We start from the raw sequence: 22,881 nt of genomic DNA, 5'->3' as shown, positions 1-22,881 counted from the left end.
GACAAGTTAGTAGGAATATAGAGCTCTCAGTCTGAAACCATTTTCCTTCAGAATTTTATATTGTCTCATTAACTTTTTGCATTCTGCCATAGTCTGATTCTTGCTTTTTGTAACTTTTTCTCTCTTTTATAGGATTTTCTGTTTACTTTTGCTCAGAAGCTTGACAAAAATGTCCTTAGGTGTGTATCTTCTTCTTTGTTTTAATTTTCTTCCTTCTCTGTCAACTATTTATTAATATTGGAAGATTTTACTTCTATTTCTTTTCCTTGCTCACTTATCCTCTCTCTTCTCTCCTACTTTTACTGATGTTAGACAGACATTAGGTACCTCAGACACATCCTCCATATTTCAACCAAAGGGGCAGCCATTTTCTCCCTCAGCTCAGAAGGAGGCACTCCTCACAGAAGCCCTCCCTGCCAGGGATGAGAGAATGTGAGCAAAAGGAAAGTTTGCCTTCTGAGCCAGGGAGCTTTTGCCCATTCCCTTATTCTACTTATTTTCCTGGAATCAATGCCCTTGCTGGATTTCCACATGCATCGATTGCTCCATTTGTTTAAAGAATTGTGTCTATGTTTTTAAACTGCAGCAAATGCTGACTCAGCCACTTTAACAATGGAGACTGGAGTGGCTGGTACTATAGGCCTTTTAATAATCAGCACACTGACCATCTTTGGCTTATTCCTACTTGAAGTTTTGAGTCTCTGATCTGGGACTTCTTTCTGAATTCAGCTAAAAAAATTCACTTTTTTTTTTTTTTTTTTTTTTTTTTTTTTTTTTTTTTTGAGACGGGGTCTCACTCTGTCGCCCAGGCTGGAGTGCAGTGGTGCGTCTCAGCTCACTGCAAGTCCGCCTCCCGGGTTCATGCCATTCTCCTGTCTCAGCCTCCGGAGTAGCTGGAACTACAGGTGCTCACCAACACGCCCAGCTAATTATTTGTATTTTTAGTAGAGACGGAGTTTCACTGTGTTAGCGAGGATGGTCTTGATCTCCTGACCTCATGATCCGCCCACCTCGGCCTCCCAAAGTGCTGAGATAAAAATTCACTCTTGAATGGTACTCATTTTCACTTCTGTGAGTCACAGGCACTCCTCTAGGAATCCGAGTCCATCTGCTCTGTGTCTTTCAGAAATTCTTTAGCATATCTGGCCTGCTGATGGTATCCTTTAAGGGGTTGCCACAAATAGCTTGTTTTATTTTACTGCCCAATAGTATGCAGTGGCTTTGCCCTTCTTGGATTTCTAATTCCACTGTAGATTTATCCTTATTTTTATATTTCTTCCATCATTTCAGTAGAATCATGGAAGGAGAAACAGCAAATGAGTTTTCTTAGTTAGATATCTTAAATCAGAGTTGTTGAATTATGTTTTACTTGTTTATTTAACTGCTTGTCTTTCCCCACTAGATTTTAAGCCCCTTGATGCCAAGGTCTTTGTATTATTTCATTTTTATATACTTGGGCCTGACAGATAGAAGATACAAAATAGAGATTTATATAATGAATAATTGATTAAATTAGGTAGCATGGCTATAAACAGACATTTTATTAAATTAAGTGTGCATAAGTAATAAAAAGTAGTCCTATTTTGAACTTGACAGAAAACAATGGGAAAGGAAATATCTACTGTGTACCACTGCACTCTCATTGTGCATCAGAGACTCAAAACTTCGAGTAGGAATAAGCCAAAGATGGTCAGTGTGCTGATTATTAAAAGGCCTATGGTACCAGCTATTCCAGTCTCCATCCTCAAAGTGGCTGAGTCAGCATTTGCTGCAGTTTAAAGACACAGACACAATTCTTTAAACAAATGGAGCAATTGATGCATGTGGAAATCCAGCATGGACATGGATTCCAGGCAAAGAAGTGAAATAAGGCAATGGACAAGAGCTCCCTGGCTCAGAATTATAAAGAAAGCAGCATTTTATGGGGCACTCAAGGCTGTGGAGAGAGGTTGGGAAGGAGAGAAGGTGAGAAGTAAAGGAAGAATTAACTCTTGAATACTCTCCTCAACCTGTCTTTACAAGAGATGGACTCCCTTTCTTGTGCCTTCTACACTATTGATCATTTCTCCTGTTCTTTGAATTTCATGCCTAGCCTCATTTCTCTGGCTGCCCCAGCTCCCTGATTTAGGTGACCTCATTCAAATCTGCCTCTGGCTGAGTTCAATCCTCAGAACCCATTTCTGGCTGCCCTTTTCAGGCTGTGTCATACCCAGCCCCATAAGTAAGAACTGAACAAGTTTGTACATACTTTTGCCTAAACTTCCTTGGTGTCCTATTTAACCCTAATAAAATTAATACAATAATTGACTCTTTCCTTCAACTCAGGGAGAATGGTAAATTGAATGCATCATAATGTATTTTCAGAGCTTCCAAGAATTATAAATAGCGCCTAATATTCAAGAGCCATGATGACAATTAGCCCAAAGGACAGAGTAAATAAAAGGTCAAAGCATCTAAGCTCCTGAGCTACTAACCACTTACTCCCGCAATTAAAATAAGTGATTAGTAAAGAATTATGTGCATTAACAAGTTAAAATAATTAAGCCTGATTCTTAAAAACTACATGTAACAAATAAAGAGAACAACAAAGATAATTATAGCATTACCATAAGACAAGGAGCTTATGATCGAATAAATTTACACATTTTATTGTTAGTAATTCTAGTGTCTAGTGTAGCCAACCACTTCATTATCTGAAGAAGAAATGCTGCTTTGGGTCATTTTCTGGCATTGAGTTTAATGAGCTAGAAAGTATATGCTGTAAATTTTTACTTGTGACAAGAACTTTTGCATTGAAGTACTACCTTTGTAATTCAGGATTGAATCTTGATTTATTGTTTAGATTTATGAAAATTGGACAGTTTGTGGGGATAAGTGGGATGCATGAAATTAACTGCAGGAAGTTAAAATCAGTGAAAAAAATCACTGGAGATGAATTTGAATTCTCTCAGATAAAGGTGCATTTTATCACACTCACCTTTTTCTTACTTTATGGTGGTCATCAAATTTAAATACATTTCAAACTGTAGAAAAAAGAATTCTAGAGCAGCAAACTGTGACAAGAGACTGGCCAGTCTCATAACACCCGCTTTTGTTTGTTCCAGTGACACAGTGAAATTACATATCCCAGCCACCTTTGCAATGAGACATAGCCTCCTTGTTCTGGAATATGCAAATCACCACTTTCATTACAGGTCCACAAAATCCTCCCACATGTAATATTTTCCTTTCTTTTTGTATCCTCTGGCTAAATGTGGAGAACTCTCAGATCCTAGATGAAAATGAGACCAGAAGATGGAAGAATCTGGATCTCAAAAGGTAACCTGCCAACAAAGAACACCCATATTGAACTGTCACATAAATAAGAAATCAATTTCTATTGTGTGAAGCCACTGATATCTGGAGACTTGTTTGTTATGGCAGCTAACATTAGCCTTACTGACTTACTCTACTGACTTGTAAGTTAGTGGCTAGCCTTTAAAAATGAGAATTGGTCACTATGACAAAGAAATTTTAAATAATCTTAATGACCACGGACGTTAGAATAGAGCTAAATCAATGGGAATAAGAAAACCATATGCCTGGAATGGCAAGTATTTATAACTCAACTCTGATAAGCTTAATTCTTTGTGTCTTCCCATCATATAGGATAGAGAGATCCAATGGCATTTCCTTAGAGGCCTTCATTCATCACATTCATCCCAACCAACATCCCTACTACATGGTTTTCTCCATAAAACTTGTCATTCATCATTTTGAATTATCTTGGTCCATCATTTATTTATTTCCTGTCACACTCCCTCTTGAATGTCAGCTCTATGAGAGAAGAGACCTTGCTAGTCCTGTCATTTCTTGATACCCAACAACTTGAACACTTAATCCATGGTAGACACTCAGTGGATAATTTTTGTTGAATTGATGAATAACCCTTGATGTCCATGACTAAACAGGATTTAAAAAAAAAATTATTAGATTCTTTTTTCAGTCAACAAATGTTAATGTGGATGAAAACAAATTTAACATATTAATCAGTGCCCTCAAGGAGCCTATAGATTAGATGAAGAAAGGACATGACAGAGTGAGGTACTACAAATGGTGAAAGAAAAATGCTAAATTTAATTTTGATGGTAGAATTCAAGTGTCTATAGGACTTCAAAGCCAAAGGATGTTAAGAACAATTTCATAGGAAAAGTAGCCTGATTTAAATTTTAAAGAATTGGTAAAAATCAATAACCTGTGTTCACCAAGTGACATGTGCTTACTTCAAGGGAGATGTGGACCACAAGACATCTACTGGGTGGAGAAAGAAACAATTAGCATTTTCATTTATAGTCACTTTTTACGTTTTTTTAAAAATTAGACTTTACTAATATTTACCATATGAACTAATAATATACATATATACAATTCTTATAATAAACATGCACATATTATAGAGGCATGTCCACAGTCAAAAAGTTTGGAGGCCACTTATAGAGAGAGGATACTTTAATGAGGAGACATGAGCAAGGAATGAAGGCAGGAGTGCACGAAGGGACATAACTGTACCCTACCTTGGCTGGCACAAGAGACATGGAGCAGTGACATGTAAGTTCAAGTTAGGATAGAGGGTTTATAGCCAAATTATAAAGAGTATTAGATGTCAGTAAAAGCATTTATATTTGATTGTTGACTCTTTCTCAACAACATATTCCTATTTGCCCACTGTTTCCATCTTCGTGCTTGCCTCCCTAAGAGAATCCCCTACCAGTTAGTCTCTGGATGGCTGCACCATCTCCTAATTTATCTCTCTCCTTCCATGCCGGTCCCACTACCACCTACACAGTATCCTTGTGATATTTTTAAAACTTCAGTGGGATCACTCCCACCCTTGCACAAAACCTTCATATGGCACCCCATTGAACTTAGAATAAAATCCACATTTCTACCAGTTTCCATGTGATCCAATCTCTACTTATCTTTCCAGTGTCATCTTTTTAAAAAAAATAAATTTTATTGTGTATATTCCAAGTTTACAGCATGGTGTTATGGGCTATGTATCAATAGTAAAATGGTTACCATAGCAGATTGACACATCTATCATCTCACGTAGTTACTTTTTTGTGTGACAAGACCAGCTAAAATCTAATTATTTAACAAAATTCCTAATGCAATACAATTTTATTAAGTTTAGTTCTCCTATTGTACATCAGATCTCTAGGCCTGTTCATCCTACATGTCTGCTATTTTGTATCCTTTTACCTAAAACTCCCCATTTCTTCTCCCCACAACTGTTTTATTCTCTATCTCTGTGAATGGCAACCACTGTTTTATTCTCTATCTCTGTGTATTTGAGCTCTTCCCCAAAATATATTGTACATATAGGTGAGATCATATAATATTTTTCTGTCTGGCTTATTTCACTTAATATGAAATAAGTGTCTCTGTTGTAGCAAATGCCAGGATCTCCTTTTTTCAGGGTTGAATAATATTCCATTGTGTGTATATATATATATATATGTGTGTGTGTGTGTGTGTGTATATATATATATATATGTGTATATATATATATATATGTGTGTATATATATATATATGTGTGTATATATATATATATATATATGTGTGTGTATATATATACCACATATGCTTTATCCATTCATCTGTCAATGAATCTTGCTTTCATAATTTGGCTATCGTGAATAATGCTAAAATGAGCACAGGACTGTGGATATCTTTATGAGATGCTGATTTCATTTCCTTTGGATATATATCAAGAAGAGGGAATGTCTAGCATCAACTTGTGTCACTCTTGCCCTTGTTTCCTATACACAAACCATATTTGTCCATCCTTTTGTTCCTCCTCCTCCATTCAGACTCTTTCCTTCCATAGTATTGCTGCACTAACTGTGCCCCCTGCTTCAAGCATTCTTCCCCATGAATGTATAACTGGTCTCATCATGCGGGCGTCTGCTGTGCTAGGTACTTTCACATACATATATCATTAATTTTATCTTCCCCACAACATAGTAAGGAAGGCACAGTGAGAAACGGTCAATTAGACCTAAAATGTATGTGTACACATTTATACGTGAATATATTACGCACTAATTCATTTGCAAAGTACTTTAACATGACTTCATTTTGTCCTCACCCAAATTTTTTCAGGTAGAAGCAGATTTATAGAGGAAAGAAATGAAAATATAAAGATTATAAGTTCATCAAAGTCACACACAGATTTTACATGGTGGGTCAAGGATTCAATTAATGTCATTTGGCTTCAAAATCTAGTGGTCTGTGTTGTATCCCATAGAGGCAAAGATGGTTTCAAGAAAGTGAGGAGAGGTAATAGCATCTCTCAGAGAGCAGGATAAGAAAAAATGTATTGACTAGGAGGTCAGGAGTGGCTTCCAATGATATAACAAATCCACCAAAAACCTCTGGTGAATTAAAATATTAAACCCCTACTGTGTGCAAAGCACTGGCCTAAGCTAAAAGCAGCATTTTATAAGATGAAGTTTGCAAAAAAAATAATAGCAGCAGAAGTCAAATTAAATGAGGACAAGAAACAATGTTCTAAAGAAAGAGAGGGAACACATGCAGGTCAATTCTCCAAGAGTTTGGCTGTGAACGGAGACAGGAGCTCAGTAGCAGGAAGCAGCAGCAGGTTAAGTGAAGGTTGTACTCAAGACTTGAGATAATAAGCAATTAAGTAGATTTCAGCTCTTCTAACTTGAGATTGTTTAGTGGACTTTGCAGCCTATATTAATAAATTTGCATTTTCACCTCAGGCCTCTAGTTACCAGCATTTCAGTGGTGTCATCAAATCGACTTTTCCTAAAGGCCTCTTTTGGGACCACATGTCAATATTGAAAGCTCAGTATTCAGGAAGGTGTGATGCTGACTCACAGAAAATGCCCTTCCCACGACTGATGGTCTTACTGCCTCAAGTTGGCAGAATGACACATTGACCCAGAGCCTCCAAGGATTTGGCTGATCCTTGGGAGTAATATGAGAGAGCTTTGCGAAGCTTCATGAATACCTGTAATGGGGGAAGGGGGCATTTGATAGATACACTTTCGCCTTAGTGTACTCGCTGGTACCCAAGAGACCTACTTACTCTGGAGAGAAGACAGACTCTCAAACTCTCAAATTTAACTCAAAATATTTCAATGTCAGATCTGAATTCAGTTTACAGTGGGACCCTCATTCATTTAAATTGCTTAAATTGCTATCGTTTCAATTGTCCAGGTCTGTGTTTAAGTCCAAGAGAAAGAGAATACAGTGTATACGAAACAGCAAAAGTTCATGTCCTAAGGAAACTTACATCCAGTGGGAAGATGGACTATAAACCATAAAGTAAAGTGTACATTGATAAATGCTATGTAGAAAAATATTGTCATAAGAAGTCTGTATTTTTAGATAGGCAGCCGAGGAGAGATAATCCCATATATCTTATTTGGATTTACTTCCAATTAACTTAGATTTTCATCTGTGAAACCAGGATTATTTGCCTTCCTCTCTAGGTTTATTGGGAAGGATAAGTGAAATTTTGTAGAAGGCCTTGAAAAGGTGCCTGGCAGGCACTAAAACCTCCATTCATAGAAAAAGAGAAAGAAAGAGTTGAGACTGGGTGACTAATCCCAAGTCAGCGGCACTCTCAGTCTGGCAATATTAGAGCTAGAACCTGAACTCAGGGCCTCAGGCTTCAAGGCGGGCAACTGTTCCTTCACATCTCAACTCTGCAGTACAGTATCACGTGTGGAGAGGGGTTCTGAGTATTTAAAGTTATGGGAGTCACACTGTAGCTATGGAAACCATGTGAGATCTACAAAGACAGAGAGGACTCGTCCCCACCATCATCCAGGAGTGTAGTAAGCACTCAAGTAATATTTACAGAATATTAACTCCACATATGACTCTAATTACTAATGGTAACCCGTAAAATTCAACACATTAGCCACGGAAATGCTGCACCTCTGTAGGTATATTTGGCTTTACACAGGTGCTGAATGAACCTCTAACACATGCTTAATTAAATTTATGCTTTGTTTATTGGTTTCATTTACTTTAGGATATGTGAGTAAGTGGATTTCAAGGTTTGAAATAAAAATACAAATATACCATTTTAAATAAATGTTTGCCTTTTTCAAGTCCTTGTCTATCACCATGACATTTCAATGCTCAAAATTCTCAGTTCCAAATCTATTTTTCCTGTAATATAAAGAAGATAGCTGTATACTTCAATCACTATCCTTGCTGTTTCCACTTCTAAATGCTTACCTGCTCTTCAACCTCTTGTTCCCATAGTGGACACCACTCTTCTGAAGATCACTCTTGTCACTTTAGTACCTGAATTCTGTCTTACCCTCCTTGGCTTCTTGGCAGCCCTTGAGCCTTGGTTAAAAGCATCAGTTTTTTATTTTTTATTTTTATTTTTATTTTAAGTTCCGGGATACATGTGCAGAATGTGCAGGTTTGTTACATAGGTATACATGTGCCATGGTGGTTTGCTACACTGTCATCTAGGTTTTAAGCCCTGCATGCATTAGGTATTTGTCCTAAAAATCATCAGTTCTTAACTCTCTCCTTCCTTGGCTTTCAGAAGGTTAGATTTTTTGTTCTTTGTCTTCTCCTATCCCTTTGTCCCTGTCTTTCTGCATGGATACCTTCCTCTCCCTTTGCTCCCTGCATATTGTCAGGCCCCAGATTGTAATCCTCATTTCTTGCCCCTTCCACCTTGGTTAACCTGTTGTTGTCCTCATTGTTGTTTATAATCATGACTTCATTTATCACCTTTATGAGGGATGCCTCTAGTTTTTTCTCCAGATAAGACCTCTGGGATTCTAGACCTGCATGTATACAAGCAGGACATTTTCATGGACACATTTCACTGTTCTCACATGCATAGCATGTCCAAAATAAAATTTTTCTTTTTTGTTTTTTTTGTTTGTTTGAGACGGAGTCTCACTCTGTCGCCTGGGCTGGAGTGCAGTGGCATGATCTGGGCTCACTACAACCTCCACCTCTCAGGTTCAAGCGATTCTCCTGCCTCAGCCTCCCAAGTAGCTGGGATTATAGGTGCCCACCACTACGCCCAGCTAATTTTTTGTATTTTTAGTAGAGATGGGGTTTCACCATGTTAGCCAGGCTGATCTCAAACTCCTGACCTCATTATTTGCCCGCCTCAGCCTCCCAAAGTGCTGGGATTACAGGCGTGAGTCACCACGCCCAGCTCAAAATAGAATTTCTTATCCTCGGGTCTTTTATCTTCTACTATCCCCCTGCTAATCCTGTGTGTTCTCTCCTCTGCTCCTGGCATCGCAGATGTGAAACCTCCACCCATTCAGTTACTCATTCCTATTCTTTACTCCAGATATGCCATGAGCCATCAACTTCAATGTCATTTCGCTCCATGATGTTCCTCGTCCCCACCCTTTCTTTTAATCCCTCTGTTGTGGTCAACATTAACTCTGACTTATACTGTTGCCTCATAGCAGTTTTCAGCCCCTTCCTGCCCTCCAGTTCATCTTCCACATTTCCACAGTTCCAATTGTGTTCCTTTCCTGTTCAGAGGCACTGACAGCCTTTCATTGATTCCAGAATAAAGTTCAAAATCTTTGCACCTAGAACAATCTGGCACCAGATACCCTCTCCCACTTAACTGTCTATCTTTCCCTTCTCATGTGCTGTGTGTTAGCTGCACCAAATCACTCATTACTGAAACTTGATTCCTTGATGCTTTTGTCCCTATGGTGCCCTCACCTGGAATGCATTGCTTCCTCCTCTGCCTTCTAAACACCTCTCCTCTTCCTTCTAAACACCTCTCCTCTTCCTTCAGATGTTACATTTTTCAGGAAGTTGCCCTTGGTTCCTCCAAAATAAAATAACATCTTTCTATTCTATGGCCAATTCACACTTTATTCTTTTTTCATTGTTCCATCACATTATCTTTCACCATAGTTCTCAGTGTACATATGGTAGAGACATTTAATCATGTAACTACATGGCTCTCGACCTGCTACTGTATTGTACTGACTGAGCATATAATAGGACATAACTGTCCTATCATTTCTGTTATTGCCCAAATGGCCACCAGGCTCAGCAAGCCCCCATCATCACCTCCCGGCAGGCCTGGCTTCCTTTTGCAACCTGGTCCTCAAATGCCCAACACTGTTCATCCTTATAATGACTCTCCTTTGAGTAAAAGCGAGAAATTTTGGTTAATGTGTCATGTTTACATCCCCCATCTTCCCCTCACTTAAGGTTGCTAATCAGCTCTTTTTAATCACCACTTTTCCCATCAACCTCAAAGACCCAAGCATCTTCCTGTTCCTTAGGCTAAAATCCTTGAGCAGGGTCATGCTGCAAAGCCAGGGGCACCTCTTTTAGGAGCCTCATCATTTTGCAGTTAGAAACGCACGCAAGCAGCCCTGCCTGACAGCTTTGCTACAGGGCTGAGAATTCAAACTAATTTCTGTGCCAGAGAACATCATGTGCTTACTTAGCAGCAAGGAGAGCATTTTCTAAATAATTAATTGCAAGCTCAGGATCTTCCTGAACTGTGCTCAGTTCCTGGAATCCACCCTGAAGGATATTGCATGCTACCTATTCATAACTGTCACTGTAGCTACAGATCTGCCTCAGTATGCTTTTGATTTTTCTCTCTGCTTTTCTCTAAAGAAAAAAAAAAGAATTCCTAGCCCTAATGTGATTTTAAAGATTTATTTTGACTAGTCAAAAATGAATATAAAAAAAGTTTCCCTGGATGCTAATCTTCCAAATGCTTACATTTGAATTTGTCCTTGGCATGCTGTTCCTCACATTCCTGCTCACACAGTCTCAAGTCCTTTGCTCGAGCATGCCTTCTAGCCTTGCTTTTGTTTGGGGGTTTAGTATATGAGACGACAAGTGGTACAAATTTTGAACAAAGGAGATGTCAGTTCAGGGGAGATGGATGGGTGATATCAAAGCATACCTGTGCAAACAGTAGGAAAAATACTTCCCCACAATCCTCTAAATCCATTTTGGCCAAGTAAAACTTATAGGCCTAAACCAGGTAATAGATCAAAAATAGCTTTATGTTAAATAAATACTCCAAATCTGCCACGAATTGTGTGTTTTTTTCAGTGTTGTATTGTGGCAACAAAATAGATTGTTAGGAGCTGTAAGAAATGACCGCACCCAAACAAAGGCTCATAATTGATATAAAAGACAAAGGATATCAGTGATGCTCAGATACCTAGAAATGAAAATCCTACAATTCTAGAGCTGTGAGTGGTCACTAAAGCTAGTCCTGTTAGAAAACCTGGGCTCAGACAGGTAAAGGAGCTTGCCCAACCAAAGTCTCACAATCATTTTATTAGTGCCAAAGCTAGATGAAAGTTTCATGCCTCCTTTAAGCCATGTCACTAAACCAAACCACATCAATGTCATACATAAGAGGTGGCCTGTTGAGATTTGCCGAGTTTATCAGAGAAACCAGCATTTAAGAAAACAAACAAACAAAAATCCTATCAACGATTAAATGAAGTCCCTTGTTTGGTTGAAGACGGCATAAGAACGACATAAACCAAATCAAAATAGTCTCAAGGTGGAAGACCTAGGAATCAAGTGTTAAAATCAAGAAATAAATTTGTTACCAAATGGTCTCTCCTTGTTCTCCATCCTTGTGTTTCTTTTCTCTTCCTCTTTCTTCAAGCCCCTTTCTTTCCTTTCCTCTTCCCTCTTCTATTAAATTATCCGACCAAAATTAGCCAGCAGCTCTTAAATCAAGTAACCCATTTAGGGAAAAGTCTCCGCCATTTATCTTTAATTAATCAAATGGCAAATGTGAAGACTTGCTCAGAGCCACCTTCTGGGGAATCTCTGTGCAAAGTGTGCTATCAGGGTTCAAGAGCTGTCAGTGCCTCCCAGGAGCTTTCTTCTCCTCATTAAAAATAGTTTCAACCTGATTGCATAAGTACTTTGAATGGTTGCTTAAAGTGACTTAGTTTAAGTAGTTGCCACCCATGGCTCAGCTGTCAGAGTCCAGTATATGAGGACTTAAAAATCAGATCTTGACAAAACTTTTTATCTCCATGAAGATCTAGAAGCTGGAGGAAAAAAAAAAAATCCATCACACTACTCAACTCACCCTCTTCATTATCCTGCCTGTGCACAGCCCAGCATGGTCTTTTCTCACCCCCGAGCTTCATCCACACATCTTTTCATACACTATCCTAAGGCAAAAAATTCTCAATGAAATGCCATCAGACCAGGTGTTTTCTGTTTCATTTTTCTATATAGTGCACAACTTTTAAACTGTGTCCCACAGTGAGATCTTTGCAAAACTGGCACCCATCCTTGTATTCCCTCAGTAGGACCCAAATTCTGGTTTAAGTTCTCTTCCATTCTATTTTCTCTTACCCACCCCAACCTGGGGTTTCTTCTAACATTCCAGTGCCAAAGTTACTAAGGGTGCGTTGTATTCACTATGTAAACCTTGTCCTAGTGCAGTGCCTGCTAGATAGTAGTACCTGGCATGTTTGTGGAGTAAAGGAATAAATACAAACTCATATTTCTGCTTCCTCCTTGAAGCAGTGGCTGCCTTTCTCTACCTCTATCTTCTCTGCCACTCAAAGCACTTGTCACACCCGAACATTTCAGCAGAAATATTCTTCACACAGTCCTATGTACCTCTTTCAGTTGAAGATTCTGTTTTCATGATGGAGCTGGACACTAAGTTTTTCCTAGTTGGATCTTACTTTTTCTAAGGCAACGGGGGACATTTCCAGTGAGTATATCATTAGAGCGATTTTTCAGTGGCTAACCAAGCTGTCGCAGACATTTAGCACTGCCAATTAGTGAAGTTCTTTGATGTTACTCGCTACCCAATCCTCCTTTATTTATTTATACAAAATATTTCAATGCTTCATTGTGCACTAAAACCAGCTCCAGACAAGGACCACAAGAAGCAAGTCGATAGGGGGATTAATAGGGCGTTGTTTGTAGAATGCAGAATTCCATAATAGATCTAAAATTAGGCTTCTGGAGCATGAGATGTTTTCAAATTCATTACTGCTTTCAAAATAACATAATTTTCTATATGAAAACAGCTTGGAATTCTTAGGAATAGAAATTGAAGGTGGTTTTATTTACCTATTTTTTTTGTTTTGTTTCTGGTGGCTGATGATTTTCCTTTTTATGCTTGGAAGGTTTCATGACCTTGTGGAATATGATCTATAGAATATAATAGTTTGGTGTATTTGGTTTCCAATTTTGAAAAAGAGTAAATTAAGAAATATCATTTTAATTCTGAGAACTTTCATCAGTAGTTAATCAAGAGGTAGAATTTTTCAATAATATTTTTCATCCTGCTTGTACCAGGCGTATACTATGGCAGAGTAATTGATTGCTAGATTTATCACGCTGGGGAAGCTGGAAATATTTTGTTGTATTGATTAAGGACTTAGCATTTCTGTGAAACATATCTGCATACATTCCAGGCACCTGGAGGGAATAAAGGTATGATAATCTCAAGATAACAAGGAAACTTAATATTGTAATTAAGCTATATATTGATTCTAATTTGCTATTAAATTTGACATGGAAAGGGATTGAAGTAGAAGGCAGAGTCTCCCCTAAAATATCTCTACCAAGAGAACATAGCTTTTTACCTATTACTTGAAAAGTGTCCACCACATATTTTCAGAATGGATTTGTGGGCTGTGGTCATAGCAGCCACTGGCTGTCACAGTCTATGAAATGTGACCAGGTGGAAAATAAATTCACTGAGTCTTCCTCTGACAGAGGGCCTAGAGAAAAGGGAGAAGAGATAAATCCTAAGTGCTAGCAAGAATGAAAAGCTCCTGGGTGGACAAGTTAGAAGAATCTGAGACACTGAAGGATGGACGTCCACTAGTCATGTACTCATCTAACGTCACTGGTTTTTAGAGCCAGGGGACTGCCTGTCCTAGAAGTCTATAATCTTTGACTGTTAGCTCTAAATGAGTGCCTTGGTCTATTCCTTCTGCTATATCAAAATTTCTTGGACCAGGTAATTTATAAACAACAGACGTTTACTTCTCAGAGTTCTGGAATCTGGGAAGTCCAAGGTCAAGGCAACAGTGGATTCAGTGTCTAGTGAGGGCTGGCTGCCTCTGCTTCAAAGATCATACCTTGTTGCTGTATTCTCACATGGGGGGATGTGGAAGAGAAAAAGGGGATGAGCACTCTCTGAAACCTCTTTTATAAGGACATTAATGCTATTCATAAGGGTGAAGGCCTTATGACCGAATCACCTCCCAAAGGCCCACCTTCTAATACTATCACCTTGGCGATTAAGTTTCAACATAGGAATTTTTGAGGGACACACACATTCAAATCATAGCAATGGGATGCCAGGGATCAAATAATTAAACCCCTCGCTTGCCATGTGTCTACATGAAGCCAAAAAGGTTAAGTAACTTACCCATGGTAAATCGAAGCAGAAAGTGAACTATAATCTAGGCCTGTGTGTCACTTCCAAGCCTTGGGTATGGCAATGGAATCCCTAGTACCTGGTGAGTAATACTGAAGATTGCGCCATGAGTACCATAAGGCTTAGCTTGAGAATTTTTGTAAAAGAGGCAAGAGGGAAGCTAGAGTGCATGTTTAGAATGAAAAGTTAGCTTTACTATATATCTTATAAGGGGAATGGATAAAATCAATGTTCATACATTGCATTTTATTCCAAGAGTCCTCAGAGCAAGACTCTCCCTGTATAGTTGTTGGATTCAAGCTAGCTATTTTAAACCTAGTTTTTCAAGCTTAGGAAAGAAAAAAACTTCTGAAGATTATACCTAGCATGTATATATGCAAGGCAATACCTAGCATGTATATATGCAAGGCAACTTCTTTGGACAGTTGCTACAATGGGAAAATTTTGTCCTCTCTAGAGTTCCTGTGAACATCTTGGGAACGTGGTGTATTAATTTTCTATTGGTGCATAGCATATCACCATAAACTTAGGAGCTTCAAATAACACCATTTATTAGCTCACAATTTTGTAGAACAGAAGTCTTTCACGTCTTGATGTGTTCTCTGTGCAAGGTACCACAAAGCTGAAATTAAGGTGTTGACCAGGCTAAGTGCTCAGCTGGAGACAACAAAGAGAAAATCTGCTTTCAAACTCATTCTTGTTGTTGGCAGAATTCAGCTCCTTGCAACCATAGGGCTGAAATCCTTGTTTTCTTGATGGCTGTCAGCTGAAGGCCACTCCCAGTGTCTATGAGCCACCCACATTCCGTGCTCTGTGACCTTCTCCATTGTCAGAGCTGCAATGATGCCTCAAATCCTTCTATTACTGCCAGAGTCTGACTTTCTCTTCTCTGGCCAGTTAGAGAAAACTCTGTCCTTTAAAGGGATCGTGTGATTAAGTCATCCCCACCCAGATTATCTTTCTATTTTAGGATCAATTGCTGTAGGACCTTCATTACATTTGCAAAATCCCTTCATATTAGTCTTTAGATTAATGTTTGATGGAATAAATGGAAGGAAGTGTGTGTACATCAGGCATCAAGAACTTTGGTAGCCAATCAGAAATCTCTCTACTATAACATGGTGGCATCCGTCCAAAGTAAAGAATGATGCCTCTTTTCTTCCTTAAGAAATGCTGCTGTTCAGTACTGAGAACTTAAAGATCCAGATACACTATTTTTATTTAGAGTGAACACAACTCCTAATTAAGATCTTTATACTTTAATATCCATAGCCTAAACCAGTAGTCCAAAACTTTTTGGCACCAGGGATTGGTTTTGTGGAAGACAATTTTTCCATGGATAGTGGGACATGGTGGATGGTTTTGGGATGATTCAGGTGCATTACATTTATTATGCACTTCATTTGTATTATTATTACCTTATAATATATAATGAAATAATTCTACAACTCATCATAATGTAGAATGAATGGGAGCCCCGGGCTTGTTTTCCTACAACTAGACAGCCCCATCTGAGGGTGATGGGAGACAGCGACACATCATCAGGCATGAGATTATCATAAGGAGTGTGCAACCTAGATTCCTCACATGTGCAGTTCACAATAGGGTTTGCATTCCTATGAGAATCTAATGCTGCTGCTAACCTGACAGGAGGCAGAGCTCAAGAGGTAATGTGAGCAATGCGGAATAGCTGTAAATACATATGAAGATTTGCTCACTTGCTCACCATTTACCTCCTGCTATGTGGCCTCATTCCTAACAGGAACCAGGGGTTTAGGCCAGGGGTCCCCAATCCCCAGGCCATGGACTGGTATCAGCCCCAGGCCATGGACTGGCCTAAACCACCCAGACTTATATGTGAAATTGGTATGACCACACATGCGTATTTCTGGGGAGAAATCTATATATTTCATCAGATTCTTAAAAGATTTGGGAGCCTCTACCTAATCATGATTCTCTTACTCCTACTAGAATATAGGTGTCCTAGGCCATTTTGTGTTGCTCTAAGTGAATACCTGAGGCTGGATAATTTATAAAGGGAACGAGTGTATTCGGCTCATGGTTCTACTGGCTGTACAAAAAGCATGATGTCAGCATTTTCTCAGCGTCTGGTGAGGGCCTCAGGCTGCTTCCATTTATAGCAGAAGGCAAAAGGGAGCTGGCATGTGCAGAGGTCACATGAAAGAGAGGAGCAAGTGAAAGAGGGAGAGATTCTAGGTTCTTTTTTAACAGCCAGTTATCACAGGAATGAAGAAAGTAAGAACTCACTCACCCCACAACATGGGGAAGGCACTAATCCATTCATGAGGGATTCATCCCCATGACCCAAGCGCTTCCCATTAGACCCCACCTTCAACACTGGGGGCCAAATTTCAACATAAGGTTTGGTAGGGACTAACACCCAAACTATAGCAGCAGGCAACAACTGTTTTAGTCCTGTTAGAAGATGCTTATCACTTTCCCCATACAGGGAACATGAGCAGTTGGTAGAAAACCCCAAGATGTCTTCTGTCTCCTTAAGTATTAGAAACAACTCAGTTACTACTCTTGGCAAGTCCAGCTCAGGTCTGGCTTAGGTTCCTGGCTGTGGAACCACCACTACTTGTCCCTGGTGTTCCCATTCATTTGTGCCCCCTGAGACCTGAAGGCCTCCATTCTGGTTTGTGCCTACAGACACGTTGGAAATCACAAGGCTAGAATCTACTATTCTGTAGCCAGAGCAGTTGATCTTTTTTGCAATTCCAAATGACTACTTTGCAACTGCATCAGGAAAAGAATAAAATTTCACCTAAGTGTGACACAGTCCTATCAAGTAGGAGGAAGCCCTGTGTATAATGATTCACAGAGCAGGCTGCAGAGTCAGCCTGGCTGGATTCGAATCCTGTCTCCAGTACTTACTAACTGAGGAACCTGGGGAAAATTTTACAAATTCTCTGGGCTTTGATTTCCTCATCTTCAAAATGGGATTCATACTAATATAGGTTAACCATCCCTAATCTGAAAATTCAAAACCTCAAATGCTCCAAAATCTGAAACCTTTTGAGCACTGACATGAAATTCCAAAGAAATGCTCATTGGAGCTTTGCAGATTTCAGAATTACTGTTTTTGGGGATGTTGTAAGTATATAGACATCCCTTCGTATCAGTGTGGCATTGACTCCAGGATCACCACATATACCAAAATCCACACACACTCACATCCTGCAGTTGGCCGTGTGGAACTCATGTACATAGAAATTCAGCCCTCTGTATGGGCAGTTTTTAAATCTCCCAATACCTTATTTTCCACCTGCCCTTGGTTGAAAAAGATCCACATGTAAGTGGACTCATGCAGTTCAAACCTGTGTTATTCAAAGGCTCACTGTACAATGCAAATATTCCAAAATCTGAAAAAAATCCATAATCCAAAATACTCCTGGTACTAGACTTTCAGATAAGGGACATTAAACCTGTACCTACTTATAGAGTCCCTGAAGCGGGGTAAATGAAATAATACAAGTAAAGTACTAGAAATCACTTCATAAATACTAGTGTAGTTGTTTTATCATTGCTATCATAATTATTATTATTCAGCTCTTATCACCATCTCTGTTGTCTGAAGCAAAACATATATCCACTGGCTGTCTTCTGGCTTGGGTTTACTCCCCACTTCTCCAAGGTATCCTCTTCAGTTATCCACAGTGCATCATCATTCTATTTCGGCACAGTCAGGAGGAGAGGGTGTCCACCCAAATGCAAGAAAGCTGACAGTAAATTCACAAAATCTCCCAAAAAGCCCTCCTTCTGTGGCTGTTTGGACAGACAGAGTCTCTAACACCTGCTATAGATCCCTGAGAAATAAACTTGGAAACTTAGCCCCAACCCAGGATCATAGCACACCAAAATAGGCATAAACTCTTGGAAAAGCTAACATAGACAGAAAAGTCCATTATTTCATCATTGGACAAATTTGGACTACAGTCAGAAACAGATGTCTCTGGGGAATATCAATGCTTGCTGATGTGATGGAAAGAGGAATGTAATATTGAATACCAAGCAGCTGTGGCAGCTTCTAGTGCTATAGACTGTGCGTGCAGGTGGTACCTTCTGTCATTCGATGTAATGCAAAAAATTATCCCCCAGGGACAACATATGAGGGGAAAGTAACTATGGGCTGAAGCTGCAATTCTAAAGGGAATTAAGAGAAGTATAATAGTAGAGTCCTAAATCCTTCTGGAAACACATGAAGAAATAGCTTTAAAACTGGGATATGAAGTATTACATGGAGACCTGGTGAAGCAATATAAATAAAGGGCCAATTTAGCTCTGGGTCAGTACTATGTTGGATCTTTAGTCATATTTTAATAGTATAAACCTCAAAGAGAAGGGGTTAGAATCTTTATCACTCGGCTTGCACACTTTCCTTTGCTGCTATGTAAATTCATAGGTGAAACAGATATAAGGACGGAAGGCCCTTCCCAGTTCACGCAGAGCAGTATTTGCTTTCTGTATACCGATGGATATGCCAGGGGAGAGACAGCATGACTCCATGACTTCATCTTGGTTCAGACATTAGAGCCCGAACCAAGATCCTCTTATGATCAGAAGTGACTTAACAACAAGAGCAGCACTAATAAATAGCAAGATTATTGAGCACTTGCTATGAGCCAGTTTACTTATTAAATCATGGTAAAATTCTAGGTATAGTCTATCCAGGGGCACAATTGTGCTCCATCTATGAGACTGTAAAATCAAGAAACAAATTTCTTGCTCCAAAAATACAACAAAAAGACAGACATAGGATACTAATTATAGATAGTCTGGCCTCAAAGGAGAGAAAATGGAAGGAAAAAATAAGTCACCAGTCCCAAGACATTTTGAAATCTAGCCAAGCAAACTCCATTTGGTTCAAGGCCTAGGAATAATTTTCTGTGGCTTGAGGCCCCACCCTCCGGAATCATAAGACTCCACCTCAGAGTCATCCTTCCTTTGTCATGAAAGGTAGCATAAGTTTGCAGCTGAGTAGTTTTATCATCCTGTTTCTTGCTTGCAGAACTTTGGAGGTCCTACAATCTTTTTTTCATATTATACCCTCTGTTACTTTCAGTCAAAGCTGGGGCCCTTGTCTGGGTCATCTAGATATGTCATGGAGGATTCACTCCATTTGACAAGAGGCTCCTCCACCTCTCTTTCCAGGATAATCCCATCCCTATTTCTGGCTTCTGCTGAGTGGCTAAGGGGATCCATGAATCACAGGCTTAATCTCTTCAAAGAGCCTTCTGTGTGGCTAAATACTCTGACCTTCTGATCCTTTTGTGGCACTGCAAAAGGTCGTCCAGCCACACCCTTGGCTTTCTCTCAAGAGCATACTTTCCTACCAGTGAATCTTCTCATTTTAGCATCGTTGCAACATGGATAGGCTGAGAATTTCCCAAGTCATCAAGTCCTGGTTTCTTTTTGCCTAACAGTTCTTCCCTCAAATTTTCTTCCACTCACATTTGACCATGAGTAAAAATTTTAAAAACTGTTCTCTCACATTGTTTAAAAGCAGCAACAGGCTGTGCCTTCGACACTTTGCTAAAAAACCTCCTCAGCTAAATATCCAAGTTTTTCTGTTACAGGTGTTGCTTTCCACGTAACTACGGGACACACTTCAAGTACACTTTCTGCCACTGTGAAAGAACAACTCCCCTCCCTCCAGCTTCCAAAAACTTGCTCTTCATTTCCATTTGATTCCTCATTGGCAGGGCATTTAGCTTCCATATTTAATAGTCTGTTGATGACAATTTAGGTATTCTAAAAAATGACTTGGGTTTTCTCTCCTCTTACTTCCTGCTGAGTCTATATTAGCAGAGTCATTAATATCTATATTTCTATTCACATTACCTTGATGGCATTCCAGGCTTTTTTTCCAGCCTCTGCCCACTGAGTAATTACAAAGCCTCATCCACAATTTTTAAGAATTTGTTACAGCAACACTACACCTTTAGGTACTAAAACCTTTGGCTGCTCTAACAAATTTGCACACATATAGGGGCTTAAAATAATACTAGTTTGTTGTCTTCCAATTTTAGACTTCAGAAGTCTAAAGGAGGTCTCACTGAGCTAAAATCAAGGTTTGGGGAGGGCTGTGCTTCTTTCTGGAGGTTCTAGGGTCAAATCTGTTTTCTTGCCTTTTCCAGCTTCTAGAGGCTGCTGTGTCCCTTGGCTTACAGGTCCCTTCCATTTTTGAAGCTAGCAGTAGCCAATCAAGTCTTTCTCACATTGTACATTGTGATTGACTCTTCTCTTCTTCCCCGTTTGAGGTCCCTCATGATTACATTGCACCCACCCAGGTAATCTAGCTTAATCCCTTTATTTCAATGTCAGCTGGTTAGCAACTTTAATTCTAGCTGCAACATAAATTTCCTTTTGGCATATATCATATCATATCATATCATATCATATCATATCATACCATATCATACATTCACAGCTTCCAGGGATTAAGATGTGAACATCTTTAGGGGCCATTATTCTGCCTGCCACACATCATTTAGTCCCTGCAACTCTATGAGCTCTGTATATAATTGCCTTCATATTGCTAGTAAGAAAATAGGCTCAGAGAGATTGAGCCACATGTCCAAAGCTAGTATGTGTGGAGTCCAGCTAGTTGTATAGTTTATGTGTGCATAAATATCTCTCTCACACATAAAATCAGGGCCCATCTCAAACATTATGTTTCAGACTTTCCAAGCATACCTTTAAAGATTTATGTCAGTCATGGACTTTATCAATTCTTCTTTTGGTATTTATGTTTATGTAGAGGTTTAAGCATTTAAACCTCTATATAATTTGCTAGGGTATTCCAAGTCAATGGGTCTCATAGAGCCAAGCAACACAGTGAGTAGATGAGATGTCCCTCAGCTGTGGAGTGTTCTACCCTATGTGGATGATGAAATGAGTGGACTCCTTGAATGCTCAGATGGAAGTAGATAGAAACAGACTGGTCAAAAATAAATTGGCCAATGCAACCATTTGGTTGAAAGTGAATCTTCTGAATCACTGTTTTGCTGTTACTTTTGGTATGCTATGGGGCAGTCCTGACAAATTTTTATACGTTCTTTAATTGCCCACTTTTTCAGAAATTTTCCCTAAGCTTTTTGCTCTAAAAAAGTTCTCATTTATTTTGTGTCTCTTCTGAATCATGTGTAATTTTTTAGAAAAATAAATGCTGGAAGCAAACTAAATTCCTATTACCAGTAAAATTACCATGCCCCAGTTAATACCATTTACTCAGTGCAGAGAAATTATTAAATCTAAACTGGTTTTAAAAAATAATTTTCAAGTTTTGAAAATACAAGCAATTAAACAAAACATATAAAATTGCTTGAAAAGTAGAAATTTTAAAGAAGAAAAAATCTCTAAAAATGTATGCTTTTCTTTCAACTTTTTAAATATTTATTTTTGTCATTACAAAACAATTATTGCTCATTTTAAAAAATCAGAAATACAGACAAGCAGAAGAACATATATATCCATAATCCTGGAAGACTATATCATTAATTCCTTACTAACTCATAGATCCTGCTCTATGTTATATGTTATATGTATAACACTCATATTATATGCTATTCTCAATAGAATCAAATGTAAAAACTACTTTGCAACCTGCTTATTAAGCCTGACAACATATTATGAATATTTCATGGCAAGATACGTATTTCTGAACCATACTTTTCTTTTTCCTTTTTTTCTTTTTTTTTGTTTTTGAGACTGAGTCTCACTCTGTTGCCACGCTGGAGTGAAGTGGCGCAATTGCAGCTCACTGCAACCTGCAAATCCCTGGTTCAAGCTATTCTCCTGCCTCAGCCTCCCAAGTAGCTGGGATTACAGGCACGCACCACCATGGCCAACTGATTTTTGTATTTTTAGTAGAGACGGGGTTTCACCATGTTGGCCAGGATGGTCTCAATCTCCTGACCTCATGATCCGCCCGCCTCGGCCTCCCAAAGTGCTGGGATTACAGGTGAAACATGCTTTTCAATGACCACATAGTATTTCATTTTATCAACAAGCCATAATTTTATTTAACCAGTTTTACATTTAGGTTTTTTCCACCTTTTGGGAAATACTGCAAAGTAGGCATAATTGCTGGAAAATGAATTAGCAGCAAAATATGAGAACATTAAAATATTTTAAATCTAAAAATGTACAAAATTGTTTAAAGATGCACAAAGTGTCAAAAAACCTCAACTATAATAAATCAATATTGTTGATAGGTAGCGGGAAAATCAACGTATGAGTTCGAGTGTTTACTTTTGACCTATTATTTTTGCCAGGTGTTGTCTGGATTATTTTTCCCCGATTAAATTGCCTCAACCAAATCATTTAAACTGAGCCTGATTCAGTGAGAAAGATATTTGGTTATTCATTTCAACACATGGTTTTTCATCAAAGTTAAGATTAGTACTGGGAAATGTG

The 22,881-nt window shown here is 38.8% G+C and overlaps 3 long non-coding RNA genes across 3 annotated transcripts in view; 1 reads left to right on the top strand and 2 right to left on the bottom strand.

Moving 5' to 3' along the window:
• The window catches only part of LOC100506869 (uncharacterized), a 220,968-nt gene extending 209,181 nt beyond the window's left edge, over window positions 1–11,787 (bottom strand). The window contains exon 1 of the long non-coding RNA NR_126341.1: window positions 11,621–11,787. This is a non-coding gene — a long non-coding RNA (uncharacterized LOC100506869). The remainder of the gene's footprint in view (window positions 1–11,620) is intronic.
• The window catches only part of LINC02388 (long intergenic non-protein coding RNA 2388), a 215,758-nt gene that overhangs the window by 178,228 nt on the left and 14,649 nt on the right, over window positions 1–22,881 (top strand). The window lies entirely within an intron of this gene.
• LOC124902949 (uncharacterized) lies at window positions 12,952–15,205 on the bottom strand. Its single transcript, XR_007063337.1, has 3 exons — window positions 15,001–15,205; window positions 13,637–13,774; window positions 12,952–13,469 (listed from the first exon to the last, which is right to left on the bottom strand). It is a non-coding gene; the product is annotated as an uncharacterized LOC124902949 (long non-coding RNA).

The sequence above is a fragment of the Homo sapiens genome, chromosome 12, assembly GCF_000001405.40.
Source record: "Homo sapiens chromosome 12, GRCh38.p14 Primary Assembly".
Classification (NCBI taxonomy): domain Eukaryota; kingdom Metazoa; phylum Chordata; class Mammalia; order Primates; family Hominidae; genus Homo; species Homo sapiens.
This window is presented reverse-complemented; position numbering and strand designations above follow the sequence as displayed.